This window comes from Homo sapiens, chromosome 11 (genome assembly GCF_000001405.40).
Source record: "Homo sapiens chromosome 11, GRCh38.p14 Primary Assembly".
NCBI lineage: Eukaryota > Metazoa > Chordata > Mammalia > Primates > Hominidae > Homo > Homo sapiens.
Window position 1 is genome coordinate 78355021 of NC_000011.10, and position 26705 is coordinate 78381725.

Here is a 26705-nt window from a genome sequence, read left to right on the forward strand (position 1 = left end):
AAAGGCAAACCACCTTTATGACATTTCACAATCTTAAAACAGAGACCACAGACGTGGAGCTTACTTAAAGATCAGGAGTGAAGTTAATGCATTAGTGTAATAGAGATCCTCCACGGGAATAGGGATTAGGAGATGTGGGTCCAGTTCTGGCTTTGCTAAAAGCACTTTATGTGACTTGAGGGAAACCATATTTACATCTTTTAGGTTTCAGTTTCCTCATCTATAAACAACAGCAAAGTTTCTGGGCAGGGGATCCCAAAACGTCCCTGTGGGCAATTTGAGATTGGCACGAATGATCACAAGAGCTCTCCCACCCAACTGTAACCTTCTGTTATCAAAAAAGATTCCATGAACAGGAGAGACAGGAGTGAAATAGTATTTGGAAGGCCAACTCTATTTGATCTTCACCAGTTAACCAGATGAGAATTCTTGCCTCTACTCTGACCCATGTATCAGTGTCAGGTCATCTTTATCAACATCCACAGCAACATTTCAAGAGACCAAGCTCAGGCGGGGCATGATGGCGCATGCCTGTAATCCCAGTGCTTTAAGAGGCTGAGACAGTAACATCACTTGAGCCCAGGAGTCCGAGGCTATAGTGAGCTATGATTGCGCCACCGCTCTTCAGCCTGGGAAACAGAGAGAGACCCTGTCTCACTTAAAAAAAAAAAAAAAAAAAAAAAAGACCAAGCTCAGAACTCATTAAATGATCACAGGTCTTCTCAGAGAGAGAAAGTACACAGAAGTACCAAGTATACTGAGATTAAAATGAGGCAACTGAGGTTCTTGATGTCACAAACTCCTTATAGGACCCTGGCTGGGTCAGTCACTTAACCTTAGCCAACTCATCTTTAAGACACAGTGGCTGGGTGTGGTGGCTCGTGGCTCATGCCTGTAATCCCAGCCCTTTGGAAGGCCGAGGCAGGTGGATCACTTGAGGTCAGGAGTTCAAGACCAGACTGGCCAACATGGTGAAAGCCCGTCTCTAATAAAAATACAAAAATTAGCTGGGTGTGGTGGTGTGTGCCTGTAATCCCAGCTACTCAGGAGGCTGAAGCAGGAGAATCACTGGAACCTGGGAAGTGGTGGTTGCAGTAAGCCAAGATCATGTCACTGCACTCTAGCCTGGGTGAAAGAGCAAGACTCCATCTCAAAAAAAAAGAAAAAAAAAAAAAAGACACAGTGGTGGAAGGGGTGATGTTTAGAAATTAGACCCCTTCAGCTCAAGCAGTTTATGATTTTGTTATCTCTGTACAAGTTTCAAATGCTACTACTGGATATTGGGGCACTTGAGGGTGAGAGGTTAGTACTAACAACATGGTAACAATGCCAAATCCTGCAAGACAGAAATGTTTATGTTTTCTTATAGTATTCTTAAGGTTTTCTCACATGCAAGGAAAAAAATATTACCTATAGCAGACCTCAAGAATCAAAACATGCAAAACTACATATTAATTGTTTCATATCTCAGAATCTTCCCTTTTTAGCATCCCAAAAGAAAGTCAAATTATGTTCTTTCTGGTTGTCTTCTGGTCCACCTATAGTAGGTATAAGACTTTGGTTTTGAGCAATTAAGTTAGCCTAGATACCATGAATGACACTCCCAAAGAAAACAACTTAAAAGCTAAATAAAATATTCTTAAATAGTAATTTTGAAAATGAGTCATGCTGTCAAGAAGTAAGGAATCTGTAGAGAACAAAAGTTAAATGAAAGCAGGTGGAAGCAACCTGAATATTCACTGACAAAGAGTGGATTAAAAAATGTGGTTTATAGATACAATGGAATATGATTTCAGCCTTAAAAGGAATGGCATTCTGAAATGTTACAATATGGATGAATTTTGAAGACTTACGCTAAGTGAAATAAGCTGGTCACAAAAGGACAAATACTGTATGATCCCATTTATATAACATACCTAGAATCAAATTCATAAGGACAAAAAGTAGAACAATGGTTGCCAGGGATTAGGGGTTGGTGAGTAGGGGGTAATAGGGAGTTTCTGTTTAATGGGTACACAGTTCCAGTTTTGTAAGATGAGAAGTTCTGGAGATGGATGGTGGTGATGGTCATGCAACAATGTGAATGTATTTAATGCCACTGAATTGTTCACTTAAAAATAATTTTGATGTTATATATGTTTCATTCACCACAATAAAAAAAATAAGTGAAAGCAGAAATTCTGGAAAGAAAGAGAGCACTAAAACCATTTTTTGCCCTGAGGTTATTTATGTAACAAACACTAGTGACAATTGTGATGACTGTTTCAAGTGTGGGCAATACATCTACAGCACTGAAAGGAACCATAAAAAAACTGACCTGTCTTGACCACTAGAAAAGAAGTAATGTCTTTTGGTTCCAAAAGCAATGGCAACAAAAGCCAAAATTGACAAATGGGATCTAACTAAACTAAAGAGCTTCTGTACAGCAAAAGACACTACCATCAGAATGAACAGGCAACCTACAGAATGGGAGAAAATTTTTGCAATCTACTCATCTGACAAAGGGCTAATATCCAGAATCTACAAAGAACTCAAACAAATTTACAAGAAAAAAACAAACAACCCCATCAAAAACTGGGCGAAGGATATGAACAGACACTTCTCAAAAGAAGATATTTATGCAGCCAACAGACACTTCTCAAAAGACATTTATGCAGCCAACAGACACATGAAAAAATGCTCATCATCACTGGCCAGACAAATGCAAATCAAAACCACAATGAGATACCATCTCACACCAGTTAGAATGGTGATCATTAAAAAGTCAGGAAACAACAGGTGCTGGAGAGGATGTGGAGAAATAGGAACACTTTTACACTGTTGGTGGGGCTGTAAACTGGTTCAACCATTGTGGAAGACACTGTGGCAATTCCTCAAGGATCTAGAACTAGAAATACCATTTGATCCAGCCATCCCATTACTGGGTATATACCCAAAGGATTATAAATCTTGCTGCTATAAAGACACATGTACATGTATGTTTATTGCGGCACTATTCACAATAGCAAAGACTTGGAACCAACCCAAATGTCCATCAATGATAGACTGGATTAAGAAAATGTGGCACATATACACCATGGAATACTATGCAGCCATAAAAAAGGATGAGTTCATGTCCTTTGTAGGGACATGGATGAAGCTGGAAACCATCATTCTCAGTCAACTATTGCAGGGACAAAAAACCAAACACCGCATGTTCTCACTCATAGGTGGGAATTGAACAATGAGAACACTTGGACACAGGAAGGGGAACATCACACACCGGGGCCTGTTGTGGGGTGGGGGGAGGGGAGAGGGATAGCATTAGGAGATATACCTAATGTAAACGACAAGTTAATGGGTGCAGCACACCAACATGACACATGTACACATATGTAACAAACCTGCATGTTGTGCACATGTACCCTAGAACTTAAAATATAATAATAATAATAATAATAATAATAATAATAATAAAGTGACCAAAAAAAAAAAAAAGAAGTAATGTCTTTCCTAAAAGTCTGTAATCAAAATCTGGCTCTAATGCAAGTTTGTGATCAAATTCATGATACTTCAAGTGAAGATCTAAAAGTAGTCCAGGATTAATAATGTCCTGAGGCTACTGGAGGCAGCAGCCTCTAATCCATTCTGGTAGAATAAATGTTTAACCTAGGCCTCAAATAGCTTCCACAGGTAAAGTCCTAAGGAACACTTGCTGTTAAAAGTAAAACAAAAACATATATGGAAATAAGCCATAATACCATAATGAATGACAGCCAGGAAAAACTGATGACAGAATCGTATCTTCAAAGACTTCACATGTTGGAATTAGAGACAGAATATAAAATTTTTAAGATTTAGAAGAGAAGCTTGAAAAAATTAGCAAACGAGAGTATAAAAAAGAACTAAATACTTTTGAAAACAAACCAAACTGAATGTCCAAAAATGAAAATTACAATTGAAATGAAAAAGTCCATGGTCAAGTTAAACAGATTAAATAGAGCTAAAGAGTTAGTCAACTGGAAGAGCAATCCAAAGAAATTCCATAGAATGTGACCAAGAACTAAAGATATGAAAAAATCAGAGTTTAAGAGACGTGGATGATAGAGTAAGAGGGTCTAACATATATCTAATCTTGTAACTGAAGTTCAATAATTAAATAAGAGAGGATGGAGTATTATTCTATGCCTGCCTTTGGCTGGTATGTTTTCAGAACCATTGAAAGAATACCAAACCGCATATCCAGTAAGCTAAACAAATGTCAAGCAGGATAAATAGAAACCACATATGGTAATGAAATTGAATACCAAAGACAAAAAAGAAGACATTAAAAGAGAAACAAGAGATCACCTGCAGAAGAATGGCAATTAGACTATCAGCTAACTCCTGAACAGCAACAGTGAAATCTAGAAGATCACAGAATAATTTTTCAATGTGCTAAGAAAAAATAACTTTCAATGCAGAAGTCAATAGCCATTCAAACTCAATGAATGCAAAATAAAGATATTTTCAGACAAAAAAACAGAAATTGCCACAGACAGACTCTCACTAAAGGCAATTCTAAAGGATATACTTTAGGAAGAAAAATAATCCCAGATGGAAGGTCTGACATAAAAGAAAACAAAGACGAGCACAGATATTGATAAATACATGGGAAATCTGAACACTTCCAGTGTAAAACAAGAATATTATTTTAAGTGGGTATAAATAAATAAGATAGAAAATACCGGCCAACAATAACATAAGTTAGGAGGAGTGATTCAAGTTTAGGTATGCTAAGATTCTTACATGATTTGGAAGAAGGGTGTAGTGCGTTGAATGGTCCCTTCCCAAAAGATATGCCCATGTCCTAATCCCTGGAACCTGTGAATATTACCTTATATGACATAAAATGTGATTAAGTTAAAGGTCTCAGACCCTTAGGCCATATAAGATAATATTCATAGGCAGCACTTCTCTTGGAGAATTCAGGGAAACTCTAAATGTAATCATATGTATCCATATAAGACAGAGATAGAGGAAGAACAGACAGAGGGACAGAAGAGAGAGGAGGAAGAGACAGTGTGACCATGGGCAGAGATTGGAGTGATGCAACCATGAACCAAGGAACATCTGGAGCCACCGGAAGCCAAAAGAGGCAAAAGATTTTCCCCAGTGCTTTCAGAAGGAACACAGCGCTGTAACACCTGGATTTATTCTCTCCTGAACTGTAAGACGATAAATCTCTATTGTCTTAAGCCAACAAATTTGTAGTCATTTGTTACAGCAACTACAAGAAACTACTAAGGGCCTGGCATGATAGCTCAAGCCTGTGATCCTAGCATTTTGGGAGGCCAAAGCTGGCACAGTACTTGAGACCAGCCTGGACAATATGACGAAGCCCTGTTTCTGTATTTAAAAAAAAAAAAAAGAAGAAGAGGAGGAGGAAAGAAAAAAGAAACTAATACAGAGAGTAAATATACTGCTATACTTTAGGCCAAATTAAAAAATTAAAATGTATGTGCTGATAAAGAGCTCAAATCTCCCTAAATGAATTTATTAATTTAACATAAACTCAGTAAAAACACCATTTTTTTGGCCAGGTGTGGTGGCTCATGCCTGTAATCACAGCACTTTGGGAGGCTGAGGCAGGTGGATCGCCTGAGGTCAGGAGTTTGAGACCAGCCTGGCCAACATGGCGAAAACCTGTCTGTACTAAAAATACAAAAATTAGCTGGGGGTGGTAGCATGTCCCTGTTAATCCCAGCTACTCAGGAGGCTGAGGCTGGAGAATCGCTTGAACTTAGGAGGCGGCAGTTGCAGTGAGCCAAGATCTTGTCACTGCAGTCCAACCTGGGCAACAGAGCAAAACTTCGTCTCAAAGAAAAACAACAACAACAACAACAACAAAAAACCCACCATATTTGTTCTAAATAAGAGAATACAATTGTAAAGTTCATAAAGAAAAACAAGAATAGCAGAGGACACTATTACAACCATATGGTAAAACACACCTCATTAATCAAAACAAAGCGTATTGCTATATATATTTTATAAGTATACAGACTAATGGAATTTAATACTTAGTGAGTTCACAAATGGTTACTAATGCATAAAATGCTTAGATTATGATAGAAGTAGCACCTCAAATCCATGGGAAAGATTTAATGACACTGTTAAAAATAAAGCTGAAACAAAGTTGAACCTGTACCTCTAAGCATAGATCAGGAAAAATTCCAACTGGATCAGATTTAAATGTAATATAAAATGAAATTATAAAACATAGTACATTTCTTTTATAGCCTATAAGAGGGAAAGTCTATTACCTAAAATCCAGAAACCATAACAATGATTGTTATAGTGACTACACAGAAACCTATAAATCTAAAAATGAAAACTATTTTCAAATCCTGCATGGCAACACGGACACACCCCCCCACACCCACACAAATGCCTATGGACAAAGCAAGGAAAAAAATGGTAACTTGGGTTAGAAGTCATAAATATTTCGCTAAAATTCACAATTCCTATTACAAAGGGCTAATCTCCTACATAAAGAGCTCCTACAAATCAGTAAGAACATTAACCCTGCAGAAAAATAAGCAAATGTTCACAGACAAATAACTATAAATGATTTTTAAACATGTGAAAAGATCAATGTTGACTTACAAAAGGAATACAAATTAAAAATACACTTAAATATTACTTTTCTCTCATTAGACTGGCAAACATACAGAACTTTGGTAATCATCTTGGCAAGACTGTGGAAAAAGAGGCAGGAGTGTAAATAGTTACAAACCCTCTGGAGAGCAATGTGGCAAAATTACATATAATCTACCAAAAGTGTAAGAGTATATATCCTTTAACCAGGCAATGCCAGAAACTTATCCTAGAGATAAACTAACATGTGCACAATGACATATGTGCATTTTGGGATCTATTTAAAAGAGTAATATTGAAAACAATGTAAATGCTCATCAGTAAAGACTTAGTTATGCCTTCACCAATTGATGTACTACCACTCAGCTGCTTTTTAAAAAGGCATGGGGAAGAAAACTGTTCATGTATCAATATGGAAAGAGCATCAAGATATATTATGAAGTAAAAAAAAAAAAAGCAAGTATAGAGAAAGTTGTCCTTTATTTGTATAAATGGAGGAGTTAATACGTATTTGTATGCGTATTTATAATCTCTATTAGATATATTCTAACATATCTAATATGTTAACAGGCCAACATACATTATAAAGATAAATACACCAGGTTATTAGAAATGAGCAGATGGTGGCAGAAGGATAGAGAAGAGACTTCTCACAGTATACTTTTCAAATATTTTGTGTTTAAGCCATGTGCATGTATTATCTATTAAATTTAAACATTTTAATAAGTATGCATAATAAAATACCTAGAGTAACTTCTAATGAAGTAGTTAGAGTGTAACTTCCAAATAAGCAGAGGGATAAAAAGGAAATTAGAAAAAGGAAACAAAATGTTCAATCCAAAAGGTAAGATTAAAAAAAACAACAGAAAATTTCAGTGTAAGGTAAGGTACAACACTACACGGTTGCAACAAATCAAAACATTTCCATAATCACAATAAATGTAAATCAATTTAATTCACCATTTAAAAGATAAAGCCTGTCTCACTGTATTAACCACAATAAATGTGAATTAACTAAATTCTCAAGTTAAAAGAAAGACTTTCCAGACTAAACAAAAACATAATCTAGCTACATACTGTTTTTTAAAGATACACCTAAAATACAAGAGCACAGGTAGGTTGAAATCAAAGGATGGAAAAAATTACATAAAGCATATACATTACTCAAAAGAATGCTGCTGCAGGTATATGACTACCAAGCAAAAAAAGATATTAAGGTAAAAAGGCAAAGAGGGTCAGGCACTTCACAAAGATAAGAGGTTCAAAGGCCCAGAAGTCATGTACTTCTAAAAAGTATGTGTACCTAGTAATATGGCCTCGAAATATATAAAGCAAGAATTGCCATTACTATAAGTAGAAAGTGACAAGTCCATTACATAATGGGAGATTTTTAAACAACCTCCCAGTAACTAATATAAAAAAGATGAGGCTCCTTTTGCCAACTCAAGTTAACCTTCCTTGGAACTAGATCACCATATCAGATACACAATTTCTTACTTAATTCCTAAGAAAATTAATCAGAACGGAAAGACATTCTTCCTGTCTGGTTCTGGTGACCAGTATTCAAACACAGAAATGAGAAGTTACACATGAGCTGCATAAGCAACCACATAGCTAGAGACTAACACTAATGGCTTTGTCAGCAATTCTGTGTGCTTATGCTTCAATTAATCTCTAAATTCCTCAAGGGAAGATGTTGGTCTCTTACACACATTTGTATCACTTCCCATACCTACCACACTGCCTGGTATATAGTAGGTGCTCAATAAATGTTTTATGAGTCATCTACTAAAATACTCCTCTTAAAAATATGTATTCTCTCCAACATCTATGAAGCACCTATTACATACCAGGTACTGTGTTAAGTACTGAGAATACACAGATGAATAAAAATGTCTGCTTTCCAGGGGACCACAACCTAGTAAAAGATAAATAGAAATATATTTTCTTTTTTTTTTTTTTTTGAGACAGGGTCTCACTTTGTTGCCAAGGCTGAAGTGCAGTGGGACACCCACAGCTCACTGCAGTCTTCACCTCCCAGGCTTAGGCAATCCTCTCACTTCAGCCTCCCAAGTAGTTGGGACTATAGGCACGCACTACTATGACCCTGCTAATTTTTGTATTTTTTGTAGAGATGGGGTTTTGCCACGTTGCCTAGACTGGTCTCGAATTTCCAAGCACAAAATCCACCCACCTCAGCCTCCCAAACTGCTGGAAATGTAGGCATGAGCCACTGTGCCTGGCTTAGAAATACATTTTCTTAAAAAGCTGTAAGTAGAGTTTTAAATGGAGTGGTAGATATACAAGCCCAGTGAAAGTACCCACAGACCTAAGGGAAAGGTTCTCACCCATTTAACATATATTTATAAGCACTTACTGTATGCCAGAATCAGGTAGGTGTTAAGAAGAGATATTTGAGTTAATTCTTGTCAAGCAGATGTGGGGTTGAAGTCAGACAGAAGGTACTAAGGGCAATGAGAAAAAAGAATGTAAGGTCCAGGAGAAAAATGTGATTTGCTTGAAGTCAAAGAGCTTGGATAAAGACTAGAACCTACATTCCCTAGTGTCCTTTCCACATTGCTTCTGGAATTCCTGGCCTCAAGCTATCCTCCCACCTCCGCCTCCCAAAGTACTGAGAATATAGGCATGAACCACCGCATGTGGCTCCCACATTGCTTCTCTACACTCCTTCCCCTTAGAACCATCTTTACTCCAATACAGATTCCTATCTAGGTCAATGGATTTTGACAAAAATTCAGTAAGAAATGTCTTTTAAATTGTAGCACAGTATCTATAAATACAATGAACTTAAAAGTTTCAATAAATATCCTTAACTGGACACAATACATGCTACTTTTTGTATACTATTTTACTTTGAAAATACTGGTAGCAACTCATTACCATTGATTTCATCACCTACGAATAGAGCTCAATCCCCATTTTGTAAAATGCTTATTGCTTGCAGTGGTTATTCTACCTCTAGCTTCTCACTTAATAGCCATCCCCCCAAATTCCTCTCCAAACATATTACTAACAACTATGATAGCAAATGCTGTGATAGGCCTTGAGTTTGCTATATGTGTTTAAGTTCTTCAAAAAAGCATAAACCAGGGATTTTATCAAACTTTCCTGAGAAATTTTCCCCAAACTATACATATTTACTACATATCTACTGATATCAGAAGATTCAGTAGATACAGAGTGAGATTTGGACATATGTAATGTTGGGAAAAGCTTCCCAGGTAATAGCACCTTTTTAAAAATATATATATATACGTCTATATAGTATTTTGCAAGTAGGTGGCAATGCTATGCTTGAAATACAAGGGTGGGAATGGCTGCAGTCATTTTTTTTATTTCAACAGGGTTTTGGGGAACAGGTGTTATTTGGTTACATGAATAAGATCTTTAGTGGTGACTTCTGAGATTTTAGTGTACCTGTCACCCCAAGGTGATAGCAACTTAATGATCTGAGGTCCCTTCCACTGTTATGAAACAAATATTTGTGTAGGAAAAGGAGTCTGGTAACGGACTAGACACAGACAAGAAAATGAAATCTCAGATAAGCAGAGGGACTTAAGTGTGATTAAAAAGCCACCAGTAAGGCAGGCATTAGAATCCAGCTCACCTGATTGCCAGTCCATTTCAGAAAGTTCCCACTAGGAAAATGAAGTCTCCCTATCAGTGTCCCTTCTCCTTCTGCAGTGACCTTTTCTTTATCAGAAACTCCCCAGGGCACCTTGGCTTACTAAATGCTAATTAGATTTCCTCCACCTGCTCTGGGATTTAGAGGGCAGTGCTAATGCAGCGCCCTCCTCAACTAACAAAGCCACTGGCATTCCTGGTATGCAGGGGCTGGCCTCCAGTTTAGTCAACATCAATTAAAGGGCTCCTATCCAAAGCCCTAAGGAGGAAGACAGAAAAGGGAGGGGTATTCCTTGATCCAAAAAATGAAGTACAGTCACTGATTGGGATTGATTGTTACTGTGGAGCTGGGTGGGACCAGGGAAAATTCTGGGAGGTAGGAATGGAATCTGGGTGAGGCAAGCAAACTGATGACCATTCATCATCTTCTCACTCCCCCAAGGAATGCTATTGTTGAGCTTGAGGGGATGAAGCCTTGGATCGCAAAAAGCCTTCATCCAAAAATAACTTAAGAAACACTTCCCTTTCTCTTCTTGTTTCAATACACAGGTCCAAATTCCGCAGTCCAGAATGACAAGTCCTCCATAATTCTATCCCGCTCTATGGAGGCATCAGAATTTCGTGAATATTCAGCCACTAACTGGCAAAGTTCAGCCTGGATGTTCAGCCATTAACTGCTGTGTAATTATGGACCAGTTACAGTTTTCTCTGGGCTTTGATTTTTCTCATTTGCAGCACTCAGTTGATTTCAAAATTAAATAAGACAATGAATATACATATGTTTTATAAACTATAAGGTGGTGTAGAGTTCTAATACAACTCCTAACACAAACTCAATTCAATGCAAACATTTACTGAGTTCCTAGAATAGTGTTTATACAGAGTTGGCACACAAACATTATCAAGTATTAGCTGTTAGATGCACAAAAACCATACCGAGTTCTTAATGATAGGGAAATCACAGTCCAGTGTAGGAGACAAGCTCTTTAACATAATATGATGAGTACTAAAATAGGCTGGGCACAGTGGCTCACGCCTGTAATCCCAGCACTTTGGGAGGCCGAGGCAGGTGGATCACCTGAGGTCAGGAGTTCAAGGCCAGCCTGGCCAACATGGCGAAATTAGATTTCCGTCTCTACTAAAAATACAAAAATTAGCCAGGTACAGTGGTGCATGTCTGTAGTCCCAGCTACTTGGGAGGCTGAGGCAGGAGAATTGCTTGAACCCAGGAGGTGGAGGTTGCAGTAAACTGAGATCACACCACTGTATTCCAGGCTGGGCGACAGAGCAAGACTCCATCTCAAAAAAAAAAAAAAAAAAAAAAAAGATGAGTACTAAAATAGAATATGCACAAAGTGAGGATGGGGGGTTAATTTACCCTGCTACCAAAGAGCAGGGGTTAAGGATTATCAAAAACCTTCTATATTCACTATATTTTCTCCAAGCCCTATCCCCAATTACATTCTATTCCCCATCCAGACTATGATGGCGAATAGAATGTAATTGGGGATAGGGCTTGGAGAAAATATAGTGGAGAAGCAACTCAAATGGTTGCTTCTCAAATGATCCTCCAGAACAACATATTCATTAGAATCTCCCCATCTTTATTCACAAAGTTACATGAGAAATTTTAAAAACCCACTAACCATCCAAGGAGTATTTAAGCTTCCATTATGTGCAAGGTATTCTTAAGGATGCAAAAAAATACAAGACAGGTCCCTGAACCCAATGAATTTACCATCTAGCAAGGGAGATAAGTCATATACAAAATTATGATACTAAGGTATATTCCTGAGCCATACAGTATCTCAGGGGTAAAGGGGAACATAGCTCAAATATCTGGAGGAGCTCCAAATTGAAAACTTCTGTTTTCTTTTCCCCCATCAACTTGGACCAAGAGTCACAAATACATTCTTCCTCCATCTAGCAATATCCTTTAACCTACTTTGTGCCAGACAACATTCTGGTCATGAGAAAAAAGCAATGAACAAAACAGACAAAAATCCTGCCTTCGAAGGGCATATGGTCTGGAAGTGTAAAGGGTCAGGTAGGTACATATATGAGTGACTGGTGTGTGCATGTATGTGTGCGTGCGTGCATGTGATACAGCAGACTAGAAAGCATATGCTTTGGCTTAAATGGAAAGCTACCACCCAGTTCCAGCTAATTGCTGCTAGGCAGAAATTTGGGCCCAGTGTTCCCAGATCTGGAAGCTGGACATTTTACGGATTTTATGTAAGAGATCTCAGCTTTTAACAATCTACGACTAATTAAAAGTGTTTAAAACACTGCAGGCCAAGCAAAACACTTTATAGATGGAATTCAGGCTAAAGATACCAGTCTATAATCTGTCTTAGAACATGTATCATGATTTTTGGCTTAGAGATGCAGTCACTTCATATAGTGTTATAAACCAAGTGCTACTGGGCTGCAGGCAGAAGATCCAGCCTCTCAGCCAGTATTAAGGAGGTGAGAGCATTTAGCCTGAGCTCCTTCAGAAAACATCTCAGAATATGTCAGTGCTTAATTTTCTTTTTCTTTTTTTTTTTTTTTTTTTTTGAGACGGAGTCTTGCTCTTCCCCCCAGGCAGTGGCGCTATCTCTGCTCACTGCAAGCTCCGCCTCCCGGATTCACGCCATTCTCCTGCCTCAGCCTCCCGAGTAGCTGGGACTACCGGCACCCGCCACTGCGCCCGGCTAATTTTTTGTATTTTTAGTAGAGACGGGGTTTCACCGTGTTAGCCAAGATGGTCTCAATCTCCTGACCTCGTGATCCGCCCGCCTCGGCCTCCCAAAGTGCTGGGATTACAGGCGTGAGCCACTGCGCCCGGCTGTCAGTGCTTAATTTTCTATTCTTTGTTCACTTCTCACAGCACTTACTGGCCACATCCATGAGTTGCCACATGCTGAGGTATTTCTTTGCTAAGAATGGCAAGACCATTTTGTTCAACCAGGAAGTCCATGAACAGCAACTCAACCAATGCATCTGCCTTGATGGTTTGATTATTCAACAGATTAATACTGTTCATGAATATGATTAATTCTGATCTACTCTATAATAGGCTTGCTATTTAGAAATATAGTAAACTTCTGTCACCTGAAATTCTCAAGTGAGGGACTTTATGTAAATTATCCTGGACAAAAAAATTTCCTATAGTTAAATCACGTTTGTGCAGAAGTCACTGAAATACAGTACTGATGGCTGAAAAGCAAGCTACAAATTAAATATATAAATTACTACACAAATAGTCACAATACAAACAAATGTTTTAATAAAAATAGAAACAAAGCATACTACACGAAGGAAGAATTTCACTAAATACTAGTGCATACCAAATGAGAAAAGGAACAATTAACCCTAATAAAAGCTGGTCTTTCACTACATATGTTTGTAACAGAACTACACAGCATGTTAACAAACTGAAAAAAAAAAGACAAGACAGCAAAAATAAACTCTATAGGTTTAAATCTTCAACTTCAGACCCCAGAAAAGCATCTTTAAAGTCAGATAAGTCCAGGCATGGCGGCTCATGCCTATAACCCCAGCACTTTGGGAGGCTGAGGTGGGAGAATTGCTTGAGGCTAGGAGTTTGAGACCAGCCTGGGAAACACAGCGAGACCCCATCGCTACAAACAAATTTTTTAAAAATTAAAAAATTTTTTAATTTGTTTAAAATTAATAAATTTACTTATTAAATAAATTTATATTTACGGGCATGGTGGCATGTGCCTGTAGTCCCAGCTACTCAGGAGGCTGAGGTGGGAGGATCACTTGAGCCCAGGAGGTCAAGGCTGCAGTGAGCAATGATTGTACCACTGCACTCCAGCCTGGGTGACAGAGTGACAGAGACCCTGTCTCAAAAAAAAAAAAAAAAAAAGTCAGATAAGTAATTCTCAATGCCAGGAAAATTTATCATCCCTGCTGGTCTCCAGTTCATTGTATTAATCAATGGCAATCATTGCATTAGAAACTTGGTCACCCTGTCTTCAAAATATGGTGCTGTTGCCTTTTAACTGGGTTAGTTTACAGTGTATATAAACTTAATGATCAATCAGTGCCTCTACTGTATTTGAGCCATGACTTACTGTAGCAAAGTTAAAATCTAAAATGTAATGGAATAGCTCAAATATACCTCTGATCAGCTGTGTGGCCTATGGTTTCTTTTGGTTACCAAAATCTGGGATGTGAAACTTGCATCCCTTATACAGTGTTTTGTGTTCCCATTCTTTCTCATTAGAAGAGTCGCCTAAGGGCAGATTATCTTGCTATTAGTTTTGCTTTGGCCCAGAGTCTTTCATCTGCAAAACAGGTGTGTTGGTCACAAGGTAGTATCTGAATAAAAATTTTCAGGGGGAGAAATATATCTTACATACCAACAAGTTTAAAAAATCCAAAGGCATTTATAAGGATGGTCATTTCAGCACATTTTTTAAGTAAATAAAATACTGTAACTGCTTATCAACTGGTCAGGTTGGTTAAATTACAGTAGTATACTCGGACACTACTATAAAGATAATGAGAAAAGCTGAGCTTCATGAGCGCCCCCAGAACGTTATTCACCTAAAGGTTATCACCAGATGATGGCATCTGGCGTGGGGTTTTTTGTTTGTTTGTTTTAGCATTTCTTGATTTATAACGAACATGTACCATTTTAACAAAAGCAATAATCTTTCCTTTAAAAAAGAAAATACTGGCCGGGCGCGGTGGCTCACGCCTGTAATCCCAGCACTTTGGGAGGCCGAGGCGGGCGGATCACGAGGTCAGGAGATCGAGACCATCCCGGCTAAAACGGTGAAACCCCGTCTCTACTAAAAATACAAAAAATTAGCCGGGCGTAGTGGCGGGCGCCTGTAGTCCCAGCTACTTGGGAGGCTGAGGCAGGAGAATGGCGTGAACCCGGGAGGCGGAGCTTGCAGTGAGCTGAGATCCCGCCACTGCACTCCAGCCTGGGCGACAGAGCGAGACTCCGTCTCAAAAAAAAAAAAAAAAAAGAAAAGAAAATACAATTGACCTATATATGCAAATACGGAACTACACTCATGGTTTATTTTATCTCACAGGATTTTGGTGCACATTAATCATATGGTAGTATTCAAATATTACCTGATTTATGCTAAGTGAAAAATAACAAGGTATAAAACAGGGCAAACAGGGCAAGGGTCTGTGATGGGCAAGATGTTTTTTATTGACTACTATTGTGCCCAGGTTCTAGAAAACAGTCTGGAGCAAAGCTTACCTGTTTATCATGTGTTGCAATCTCAGAGCAGAGAGTGGGGAAAGACTGGTAGGAAAGAATAGGAGGGAAAGGAAACCAAGGCTATATGCATCAACAAACCCGCTACGGCTTAGCATGAAAACACAGACAACTGCTCATTTAGAAGGTTACAGGATGGGTTGTATGGAACTACTAATATTGTATGTGTGTGTGCGTGTGTGTGTGTATGTGTGTGTGTGTGTGTGTGTAAGGGGTAAATGGAGGAGAAAGGCAGGCAGACACGAAGCAATTTGTCTGCTGGCTCCTTCCCTTCTCCAGCTTCCAACTGCTCTGGTCAGTGATGTCAACTGCCCTCACTCCCTACTTCCAGGCTGTGTTTACCCAGCCACTCTGGACAGTCACTGGGGAAGAACACACCCCACGTTTGAACTTGAAAGTGGTAGGAGAGGCCAGGGTCTGGCCAAATGGGGCTTAGGCACATGAGTTGCTGTAGTTCTCTCCACAATGGACTTAACAGAGACCAAACCAGAGCCCCACCCTCACAGAGGGAAGATGAGACAGCCAGCACTGTTAGAAAACGTGGCAAAAGCAGCAACATCTGAAGACTCACCACTGAGCAAGCAGACTGCCTGAGGTGCAGACAGAACCAAGGGCATCTCGATAGACACACTGAGTCTCACACAACGCATACCCTTGTATACAGAATAGAACTTTAACTATCATGTATTTAAAAAACATACATTAGGAAAAACCTATACTTAGTCTATACTCAGTAGTCTAATGAAAAGGGCAGGGACTTGCAGCCAGACAGTTCTGAGATTGAAAATCCTATCCATCTGCTCCTTGTTGTGAAACGCCAAGTAGGTTGCTGATCTGTATAATCAGGATATTACATGGTTATAGTGAAGATTAAATGAGCTAAGGTGGCTAAAAGAGATGTTAGGCTCTGGCAGACATAGTGCTGCCTCTTACATAAGAGGGGCTGATTCTTTTCCTTCCCTCATTCAATCCCTCTTCCGTGTTCCTCCAGGACAACCTCACGTTATACTGCTAACATCACTCTGCCCAACATTGTTTATATTTATGATCACTCACTACACTGGCAGCTCCATGAGGATGGGATTATTTCTTTGGTGTCCACCTTTGCTGTCTAGTACAGTTCATGCTTATAGCTGGGGCTAAGCACACATTTGCTGAATGAACCAAGAACGTCAAACACCAATTCTCAGGGGAGACAGCTTTTCATAAGACCATTAGTAAAGTCACTTGAAGGACCCATGAGACTTCTAAACATAGTCTGACAGCTGTACCGGCCAGAAAGGTAGAAAAAAAATAAATAAAAGGTTTTGAAGCTAGACACATTTACATTCCAATCCCAGTTCCATCTCTTATTACAAGGGTAATATTTGGGCAAGTGACATAGACCCTCTAAAACCTTCATTCCCATAAACATAAAATCAAAATCATACTATATTTTGTAGGGCTAGTTTAAGAAATGAGATTAAATAATATAAACTATTACTCGTATGGTGTTAATCCATGTCACAAGGCACTCTTATCCTGACCAAGGTAGGGGGAGCAGAAGAGAGATTACTGCTATGAGTAAAAGGTATCTGCTTTTTTTCCTTTTCTTTTAATTCTATGCATTTTTACTGAATGTCTGCTGTGTGCCAGGCTTTGTACAAAATACCATCCTCTATAAGTTTACAAAGTGCTTTCACCTTAGCCTCTCTCTGAGCTCTCACCCTCCTGACTCTGCTTTAAGCCTGCCAAGGATACCCACTAGAAATGCTGAGAGATGAAGAGTTTCCATGACCTCTGGAACAGATGTGAATCGTAGCTCCAACGACAAAGGCAGTAAATAGGAAAGACATCCAAGTCTTGTTGATGACATAGTAAAGAGTAAGTGTGCCAAATACATTTGACCAGCCCCTAGAGGTTCCACATCTAAGGTTGGTATTATTCCCTAGGCCCACTCTACTTCTCTAAAAAAACTTATCTTTCAGGAAAAACCCTTTAAAAGAATTTAAGAATTCCTGATTTATCAGCTACTTGCAGAAAAACTGCTGAGCAAGGAAAGGGACAAAAAGCCAGTTAAAATAGAGAGGCATGGTATGTATAACCTGAATAAACCCCAGCAATCTAAGTGGCTGTCCTGGGTAGAAAGTCCAACAATCAAAAGTGAAAAAACAGTAATTCCAGTCTTTACATGCTTTCCTCAATGGATACGAGAAGAAATCAAAATCGTAACACACTTTTTATCTCTTAATCAATTCTCTCATATAATATAGTTGCTCAAGGGTCTCTCATTCACCAACCTACCCCACTCCCAACCTTCAAAACCAGTTTCAAATTTGCATTCTCCCCTTTCCCCTTTATCTTAAAAATTCTTTATTAAGAAGATTCAGCGTGTCTTCCCTATTTTTACATTTTCGCTCCATTCAGCCTATTAGAAAGAAGTAGAGTCCTGGAAGAAGACCCAGTAAGAAAGAATCCTTCCACCCTAGAAAGACTTACCACTGGGCAAGCAGACTACCTGAGGGACAGATATTACCAAGGGAATCTTGGTAGATACACTGAGTCGGTGAGAAACTAAAGGGAAGACTGTGAATACTAATATGAATAACTTGTATTTCTCTTTTGACAAATAATTGTACATGTTTATGGAGCAAACAACTCTTCTCTGTTCTATACATTATATATAGAGTCATATCTAAAGCTACTAGGTGATTATAATGACTTTTTTTTTTTTTTTTTTGAGATGGAGTTTCACTTTTGTTGCCCAGGCTGGAGTGCAATGGCGGAATCTCAGCTCACTGCAACCTCCGCCTCAGGGTTAAAGCGATTCTCCTGCCTCAGCCTCTGGAGTAGCTGGGATTACAGGCATGCATCACCACACCCGGCTAATTTTGTATTTTAGTAGAGATGGGAGTTTCTCCTTGCTGGTCAGGCTGGTCTTGGACTACTGACCTCAGGTGATCTGCCCACCTTGGCCTCCCAAAGTGCTGGGATTACAGGCGTGAGCCACCACGCCTGGCCATATAATGACTTTTTAAATCAAATAAGGGACAAGCCACAAAACAAAAAAGGTCAAAGTTTCTAAACGTAGAGATAAAAATAACACATTGAATGGGCCCGGGACAAGGAAAACTTCCGCAAATGTAAACAAATACTTAAGTAATACATGTAAATTGCTTAGAATAGAACCTGGCATGATACTGGATTAATGTAGTCATTGTTATTATTGACCCAACTTTCTTGGTTCCCAGCTCCTTTGTTGTTAGATGATCACACAAACCCCTCAAACAGAAATCACCTCTTTGTGTAGCTGTTCAGTTTGGGGACAGAATCTGACTTAATAGCTCCTCTAAAACAAGGTTCTTTTTATCCTTCTTTGCTGCTCCAGGCTAGCACAGTACCCGACACACAGTTGGAATCAACAAATGCTTGTTAAAGGAATTAGTTCTGCTAAGTGAAGATGGTTTACCCTGGAAACCTGAGACTTTACATTGAAAAGCATTCTAATCCCAGGTTGCCTTCTATGGGACCCATTTTTGGCAAGGATTTGACAAATCAGAGGGTCTGACCAAACCAATATTATATTATAACACATGATAAGCAGGCCAACTTTAGACACACATTCTAACAGCTTGACTGAAAAAGTCCAAGTTGATCCCAGTTTAGTTTTGTAATCCGAAAACACACTTCCTCAGTATTTTCCATACAGTTGACTACTGTGTGTGTCTCTCAAATCTCATGACCTGCCATCAACCCTCGAAGAAAAACAAAATTATTAAGACCAAGGTCTACAATACAAATAATCCGGTATTTGTCACAGGTTTCACTTTTGTCGAGCCATTTCTGAACTCATTATAAAACTATGTCTATGTAGGACCTTATTGTCCATGTCAACAAACCCCTACAACAAAGGAAAGACTTGGGGGTTACCCGGGGGGGAACCTGAAGTCCCGGGGTCTAGTCCTAGTGCCAATTCTGCTACTGACTAGATAAGTTAGTGAAGTTGTTACACCTTACTCATCATCCATTTCTTAATGTATAAAATAATGATTCAAATATTTGCAGAATGTCTATTATATGCTGGTCATTACGCTGAATGCTAAAAATACAAAGATGAATACTATCCCTATCTTTAAGGGTTTGATATTTTATTGGAGTTGGACAGAAATTATATACATTAAATTAAAATACAATTTAGTAAGTAATATAATGGCACACAGTTTTACAGAAATGTAAAAGACAGACCCATTATTCTAATGGGTGGATAGACACACCAGGAAACTAAGAACTAAGAAAGAACATTTTATGGGTTTATTCTATGCATAAAACAAGGTGGATGGGTAAGGAGGGGAATAAATGCCAGAATGCAGTTGCTAAATTGGATCTTCAAATCAAGAACAGCATCAAGTCTATTGAAATATTATTTTAATTGTAGCATGTAACGAAAATTCTATTTCACACACAGGTACATTGGTAAAGGGAAGACCACAAACTGCACACTTTGCAATCTTTGTATATTTCGTTTATTTATTTTGTATTTTCTTTAGAGGCAGGGTCTTGCTCTGTCACCCACACTAGAGTGCAATTGCACAATCATAGCTCACTGCAGCCTAGAACTCCTGGGCTCAAGCAATCCTCCCGCCTCAGCCTCCCAAGTAGCTGGGACTACAGATGCATGCCACTATGCCCTGCTAATATTTGGGTATTTGAATTAAACTACTACTACTACAAAATAGTCTCAGTCTATCTTGTGAGATTTTTTAAAATCAAAGGCCACAACTATTCACTTTCATTTTGAAATGGGGTTTTTTTGTTTGTATTTTTTTTAGTCTGGGCACAGCTTAATTAAAGTACTTTTTGATCCATACACAGTTTGAAAAATCTAAGGCTCTTCCTGATATAAAATGTCTTTTCAGTGGCAAAGACATGGTGGAAATATTTGTTGGAAAATGTTTAACATTAAAAAGGCATTTATTGGTACAGCAAATATATGGTAAAATTAGAGACAGATACATCAACTGATCAGCAATCTAGAGGTATAGTTCCCAATATGCCCACTGATATAGAAGTAAATGGATACATCTTGAGATTTACCCATTACAACTGAGTTTTAGATCCCATTCTAGAATCAGGTAGTAATCTGAGCTGAACTAGAGAGGCAGAGAAAAGGCCCGAACACCTCAAAATTTATAAAGCTTACATAGTCAGTGATATAGCCTTCCATTTTCCCTCTTTGACTCACTGACTAATAAGTTACAGAGTGCTCTTCAGATTTTCCTTGGGGACCACGTTGTCCTAGCTCCTCACAGAGGAAACTATATTCCATTTCATTCAGAAGCTTCATACACAGACTCTCCATTGGCTTCTGGTGCCTGCCAGATGTGCTCAGACCATCCTACTCCTTATACCACCCTTCTGCCAAATCACCTGCAGTACTTTGGATACAGCAGCTCTGTGCATTCCAGATTTAACTGTTTCCCATAGTCTAACAGAGGGAAGTTTATTTAAACTTGCATGTGCAAAAGATCAGAACGTAAGTATAATTAGAGGGGAAATATGGGGGAAATGTTAATCATATGTATACGAACAGGACCAGATAGGCAGGGAGACTGTTTCTTCCTTAGAACTTCCTGGACTACAAATAGTTTATTTTTGCCTTAGATTGTAGTCAGCTCTCTTTGAGAGCTAAGTACCTACATCCCAGATGTGAACTCAAGGAGCAAAATGAAGATTCCCTAAGCAAAGTCTGCCTGTTTTGGCATTAATAAGAAGAGCCCATTAATGATGAATAACAATACTTCTAATAAAGAGCTAACACTGAGACAGTACTTGCTGTGTACCAGATACTATTCTAAGCACTTTATGTATTAACTCACTCAATCTTCACAACAAGCCCTATGAGATAGGTTCCATCATTAGCCTCACTTTAAGGATGAAAAAATTGAGACACAGAATACTTGCCTAGTTAGTAAGTAATGGGATTCAAATACAGACCAGCCAGCTCTTGCTACAGCTTTTTCATCTTTTAAGTAAAAGGTTGTGTTCAGTATATGTGAAACTTGGAAATGTGTTTTCACACATTCTGTTCTGATTAAAAGTTGGGGAATACATCCTTTGTTTACTGTAGGATAAGGCAAGAATAACCATAAAAGTCTGGACAACCTAGGTTTCAAGTTCTAATCTAGGCTCATGATGAGGGAGAGTTGGAGGGGGGCACCGAGACTGTGACTAGGGAAGTGTCTTAATCAGCCTGGGCTGCTATAACAAATTACCATAGACTAGGTGACTTAAACAACAGACTGACAGTTGGGATATTTGTCCCCGCCCAAATCTCATGCTGAATTGTAATCCTTAGTACGGGAGGTGGGGCTTGGTGGAAGGTGTTTAGATCATGGGAGTGGATCCCTCATGGCTTGGTGCTGTGAGTCTTGTAAGAGCTGTTCATTTAAAAGTGTATGGCACCTCCTGCCACCCCGACTCTCTCAAGCTTGCCCCTGCTTTCGCTGTGTGATGTGCCTCTTCCCCTTTCATCTCCTGCCATGACTGAAAGCTCCCTGAGGCTTCACCAGAAGCTGAGCAGATGCCAGCAACATGCTTCTGGTAAAGCCTGCAGAACTGTAAACCAATTAAATCTATTTTCATTTTAAATTATCCAGTCTCAGGTATTTATTTCTAGCACTGCAAGAACAGCCTAATACACAGACATTTCTCACAGTTCTGGAGGCTGGGAAGTCCAGGATGAAGGAACTAGTAGGTCCAGTGTCTGGTGACGGCCCTTTTCCAGCTTTACAGAGGGCTGCCTTCTTGCTGTGTCCTCACATGGCAGAAAAAGGCGACTGGATGGAAGTTCTCTTGTGTGTGTTCACTTCTTATAAAGACACTAATCCCATCATGAGGGCTCTACTCTCATGACTCAATTTTCCCAAAGGCCCCATCTCCAAATTCTATCACACTGGGGATCAGAATTTCAATACATGGTTTTGGGGGGACACAAACATTGAGTCGGTAGCAGGGAGTACAGGGGACCGGCATGTTGACCAGGCAAGTTTAACTCACTTTATTTTGAAGAACGTGGTAGCAGCAGAAAAGCCTATTATGCTTTGGAGACAAGTGGACTCAGCTTTATATGGTCCTGGGCTAGTTTCTTAACTTGAGCTTGTTTCTGGCTGACATGAGAATATTATCTATCGCACAGTATTGTAGCAAAGATTAAATGAGATGCAATCGGCTCATACCTGCAAAGTTTACTTACTACGTAGTTAAGTACACAATAAAATTTACACTTCACTCTCTCTCCTACTTTCTTATTTTCCCTCCACCCTGCCAGAGATAAGGAGGATGAATCTGCTTCAGACAAAAAGCAAGTACTGAATAACTGGATACTTGTTTTACTATCCAGCACTGCTTCCCTTTCTCATGGAGGAAATTGCTTTCCACGAGATGCAAACATGATTCTGAGCGAAGCTGTCACTCATCCCTCTCCACACCTACCACGTGAGTGTCAGGTGAGGCACAGGTAGCTCTAGTCTGACTACCGTAGTTTCCAATTCCCTGGCCATAATGGCTCAGTCCAGGGGTAGAATTATGGCCCCAACTGTCAGTATCCTTCCCTAGGATTTTAAATTTGGAGTTCTAAAAGTAAGGACCTTGCCTTTTAGGTTACAGAGATGAGAGGACTGAGGGTTGCCAGTGATCTCCTTTCTTATCACCTATAGACAGCTTGCCTACAGGAAAAAAGAAAGCCAAACACAGACAAGCAGTATGAGATACAATGAGCGCCCTTGGGCCATTAAAATATGATTGTGTGCCCAAGGTCGCCTGGTATCTAGAAAATTTTCTTCCATTTTCTGAGCTTCCTTATTATCATACCATTACATTTCTATTTCTTGCTTAAATTTACCTGAGTTGGTTTTTGTCATTAGCAATTCCAAAAGTCCTTAAAACATGAATTTATATTTTATGTCAGACTTTTCTGCAAGGTGCTTTACAGTCAAGATCCCATTCAATTCTCATAGCAACCCTGATGTGAAGGCATTGGTTCTCTCTTTCTCCCTTCACCCTGACTGCATATCTGTGATGGTGTGAACTTCTTTGTAAGCCTAGGATCAGAGTACAGGATTCATAGTCACTTTTTTCTTTTTGTTCTTTTGTTTTGTTTCTTTGAAACAGGAGTCTTAATGCTCAGGCTTGTCTTGAACTCCTGGCCTCAAGCAATCCTCCTGCCTCCATCTCCCAAGTAGTTGGGATTATAACCACGAGCCACTGTGCCCCATAGACACTTCTTATATTTAACCAAATCATATGGCAGAATAGAGGCCTTATATCCACTTACCATACCAACTAGAATACACTCAGACTATACCTGCTTAGATCACATGCCCAATCCAAAATAATCATGGTGGCTGAGGGAATGCAATGTGCTAACTAGCCAAACCTGAAGCTTAGGATAGATGGAGCCAGCTTCCCCAGAATCACACAGATGTCTGAACACAAATTAAGGTGTTGCAAGGAAGGAGAAAGGAGATGAATTTAAGAGAAGCAATCAATAAGTGTTCGTTACATACAAGGAAAATTGGAATCAAGTTATTAAGATCATCCAGCTCTCTGAACCATCTGATCAGTAACTCCTCCTGTTCACATTACTTCCTGTTGTGACCTCACGCTTCTTCAGACTAATTTAAGACTGTGGTTCTCCAGAGGCTTCAGCTATTCTCCACAGAGAAGCTAGCTGATTTGTCATGACTTCTAATCACTCATCCTGAGTACCAAATTGAAATGCTGATTTGGCAAGATTATTAAAAGATCTCAAGGCACTTTCCAGAACATAAAAGACTTGGTTAAAAGTAAGTATCTCTTGAGTCAATTAAAATGTCCTTGGCTGTCTTTCTTGCCTTGGTTTCCTCCTTAGTAAGTGTAAATTCAAAATAACAGGGAAATAGATAAGGTAAAGCTTCTTTTTAGGAAAGGGTTTTCTCACACAGTTGACCGACAAGACAGATTTCCTACTGGCTGGACTGATAACAGTGAGCAAATGGGTCCTGATACCTTCACCATCCTATGATTTTCAACAAGCTACTATATTTCATTAATTCAAATTCAGTTCTATTTTAACATCAAAATCAGAATGTTTCCTACTGTTGAGAGTGTCTTACAGTTAAGCTGCAGTCAGGACACAGCTGTCATTGCCTGCACAAGAGTGTACTTGGTTGTCATGTCTGTCATTGTGACTGAACAAATACAACCCTGAACAAATAAATCAAGGGCCATTTTAAGGAGAAACATGAATTTCAGTAGTTGTGAGACTTTTTGCTAAGATCTTCTAGTAAGACCAAGAAAGTGCCAAAGTTGAAACTTGCAAAATACGTGTCAGTAACCTGAAAGAAAAATTTGAAGACAATGTTGAATCATTTTTAAGAAATGTTGCACCATCAATACTCTTGATGGCATGCAGGGCAGTTATTATGTAGGCAAATATGGACAATGAATTAAAAAGTGATTGAAAGCTAGAATTGATTATGAAGTAGTTTTAGAAATTTCTTTACCAATGTTTCATTTATACTTTTCTTTTTTGTGTATGCAAGAGAGTGCCGGACTATAAATCCATGTCCGCATAAGTCTACAAGCACTCTTTCAATAAGGTATTTATTCCCCTGCTTAGTGGAATATAAAATAATTGTGAATGACATTGAATGAGAACTTTTTTTTTTTTTGAGACGAAGTCTCGCTCTGTCGCCAGGCTGAAATGCAGTGGTGTGATCTCAGCTCACTGCAACCTCCGCCTCCCGGGTTCAAGTGATTCTGCCTCAGCCTCCCAAGTAGCTGGGACTACAGGTGCGTGCCACCATGCCCAGCTAATTTTTGTATTTTTAGTAGAGACAGGGGTTTCACCACGTTGGCCAGGATGGTCTCAATCTCTTGACCGCGTGATCCGCCTGCCTCGGCCTCCCAAAGTGCTGGGATTACAGGAATGAGAACATTTCTAAGGCCTCATTTGAAAATTGGGATGACAAAGACTCCCTAATAGCTGTAGAATAAAATGCAAATAAAACACAGCATTCAAAGGCCTCTATAACATTGCCTAAATCTACATTTTCCACTCTTGTCTCCTATCACACTTCCAAGTCCACTACACACTGTGAAATTAAATAATTCAAACTGAAAGCTATTGGAACTTTAAATTATTCGGAGCCTTGGGAGGAATGTGGCTATGCAGCCTGAGTCACATGTCATGCAGCTGCAACTTCTGCCCCCATTCCCCACCCCCAAACCCCCCACCCCGTAATTAAGACCAAATGGCGCCAGAGATAAGACCATCTCAGAACGTTGTCCCTCCTCATGGAGTAATCTTCCTTGGAATGTAGGAATCTGTAACCAGTCAAATCACTGTAACGTATGCACTGGTCTTGTATGGGAAATGTTGTAATCCTGTTAAAATTTCTGTGTCTCTGCCTATGTAAGTGAAACCTTATCTTCTCTACTTTGAAACTCTGACCCCATTCATTTGGAGTCAGTGTCTCCCAGGTGGCCATACTTAAGCTTTGTACTCAAATAGACTCTACTTAATCGTATTTTCTGAATCTCACTATTTAAGGTTGACAATACCAAATTATACACATTATTCCTTGAAGATCACCTGCTCCTTTTCACTTCTGTGCCTTTAAGTTGTTTCTTCCACTGAAAATGTCCCATCTCCCATCCATCTCATTTACTAGAAGGTGGTCTTGAATAGCTTCTTTAATCTCTCAATTCCTCACTTTTCTTATCTTTGAAATGGGAATCTAACTTTAGGTTTGATTTGAGGATTTAATGAGCTAATACATATAAAGCACTTAACACAGACTCCAACTAACCTGTGGTCAAGCAGTATTTATCTGTGTCTTGAGAGATGAGTCTCAAAAAAGTAGTGAACTAGCCAAGGGCACACAGCTTATTTAACAGCTAAGGCAGAGTAAGAACTTAGACCTCCTCACTCCCAGTACAGAGCTGTCTTTAGATTTAAGAAATGGCTCTTCCTCCTCCCACCTGCTACAGCCAAATACTGCTAGACTGGTAAAAAAGGTTCTTCTTTTATTTCCCTAGAAGCCTGTTTCTCCCTCTTCCTCCTTTCCCTATATCAGATCTCCTAAACATGTTACTAAAAACTAAAAGGTAAATAGATAAAAAAAAAAAGGTTCCATGTTTGAGCACATTTGACCCTGTGTTAAGCACA

The 26705-nt window shown here is 39.1% G+C and overlaps 1 protein-coding gene across 1 annotated transcript in view, besides 3 other annotated features; it reads right to left on the minus strand.

The window, feature by feature from the left end:
* Positions 1-26705, minus strand: part of GAB2 (GRB2 associated binding protein 2) — a 202528-nt gene that overhangs the window by 139728 nt on the left and 36095 nt on the right. The gene's annotated exons all lie outside the window — the stretch shown is intronic.
* Positions 134-283: an enhancer, noted in NCBI's record as "active region_5320". NCBI's record gives its function as "activates an Ori minimal core promoter by ATAC-STARR-seq in GM12878 lymphoblastoid cells {active_cell/tissue: GM12878}" and the evidence as "EXISTENCE:reporter gene assay evidence [ECO:0000049][PMID:35858748]".
* Positions 10096-11008: an enhancer, noted in NCBI's record as "OCT4-NANOG-H3K27ac-H3K4me1 hESC enhancer chr11:78076162-78077074 (GRCh37/hg19 assembly coordinates)". NCBI's record gives its function as "activates a minimal SCP1, AML or CMV promoter by ChIP-STARR-seq in naive H9 embryonic stem cells {active_cell/tissue: H9 hESC(naive)}" and the evidence as "EXISTENCE:reporter gene assay evidence [ECO:0000049][PMID:30033119]".
* Positions 15158-16108: an enhancer, noted in NCBI's record as "H3K27ac hESC enhancer chr11:78081224-78082174 (GRCh37/hg19 assembly coordinates)". NCBI's record gives its function as "activates a minimal SCP1, AML or CMV promoter by ChIP-STARR-seq in primed H9 embryonic stem cells {active_cell/tissue: H9 hESC(primed)}" and the evidence as "EXISTENCE:reporter gene assay evidence [ECO:0000049][PMID:30033119]".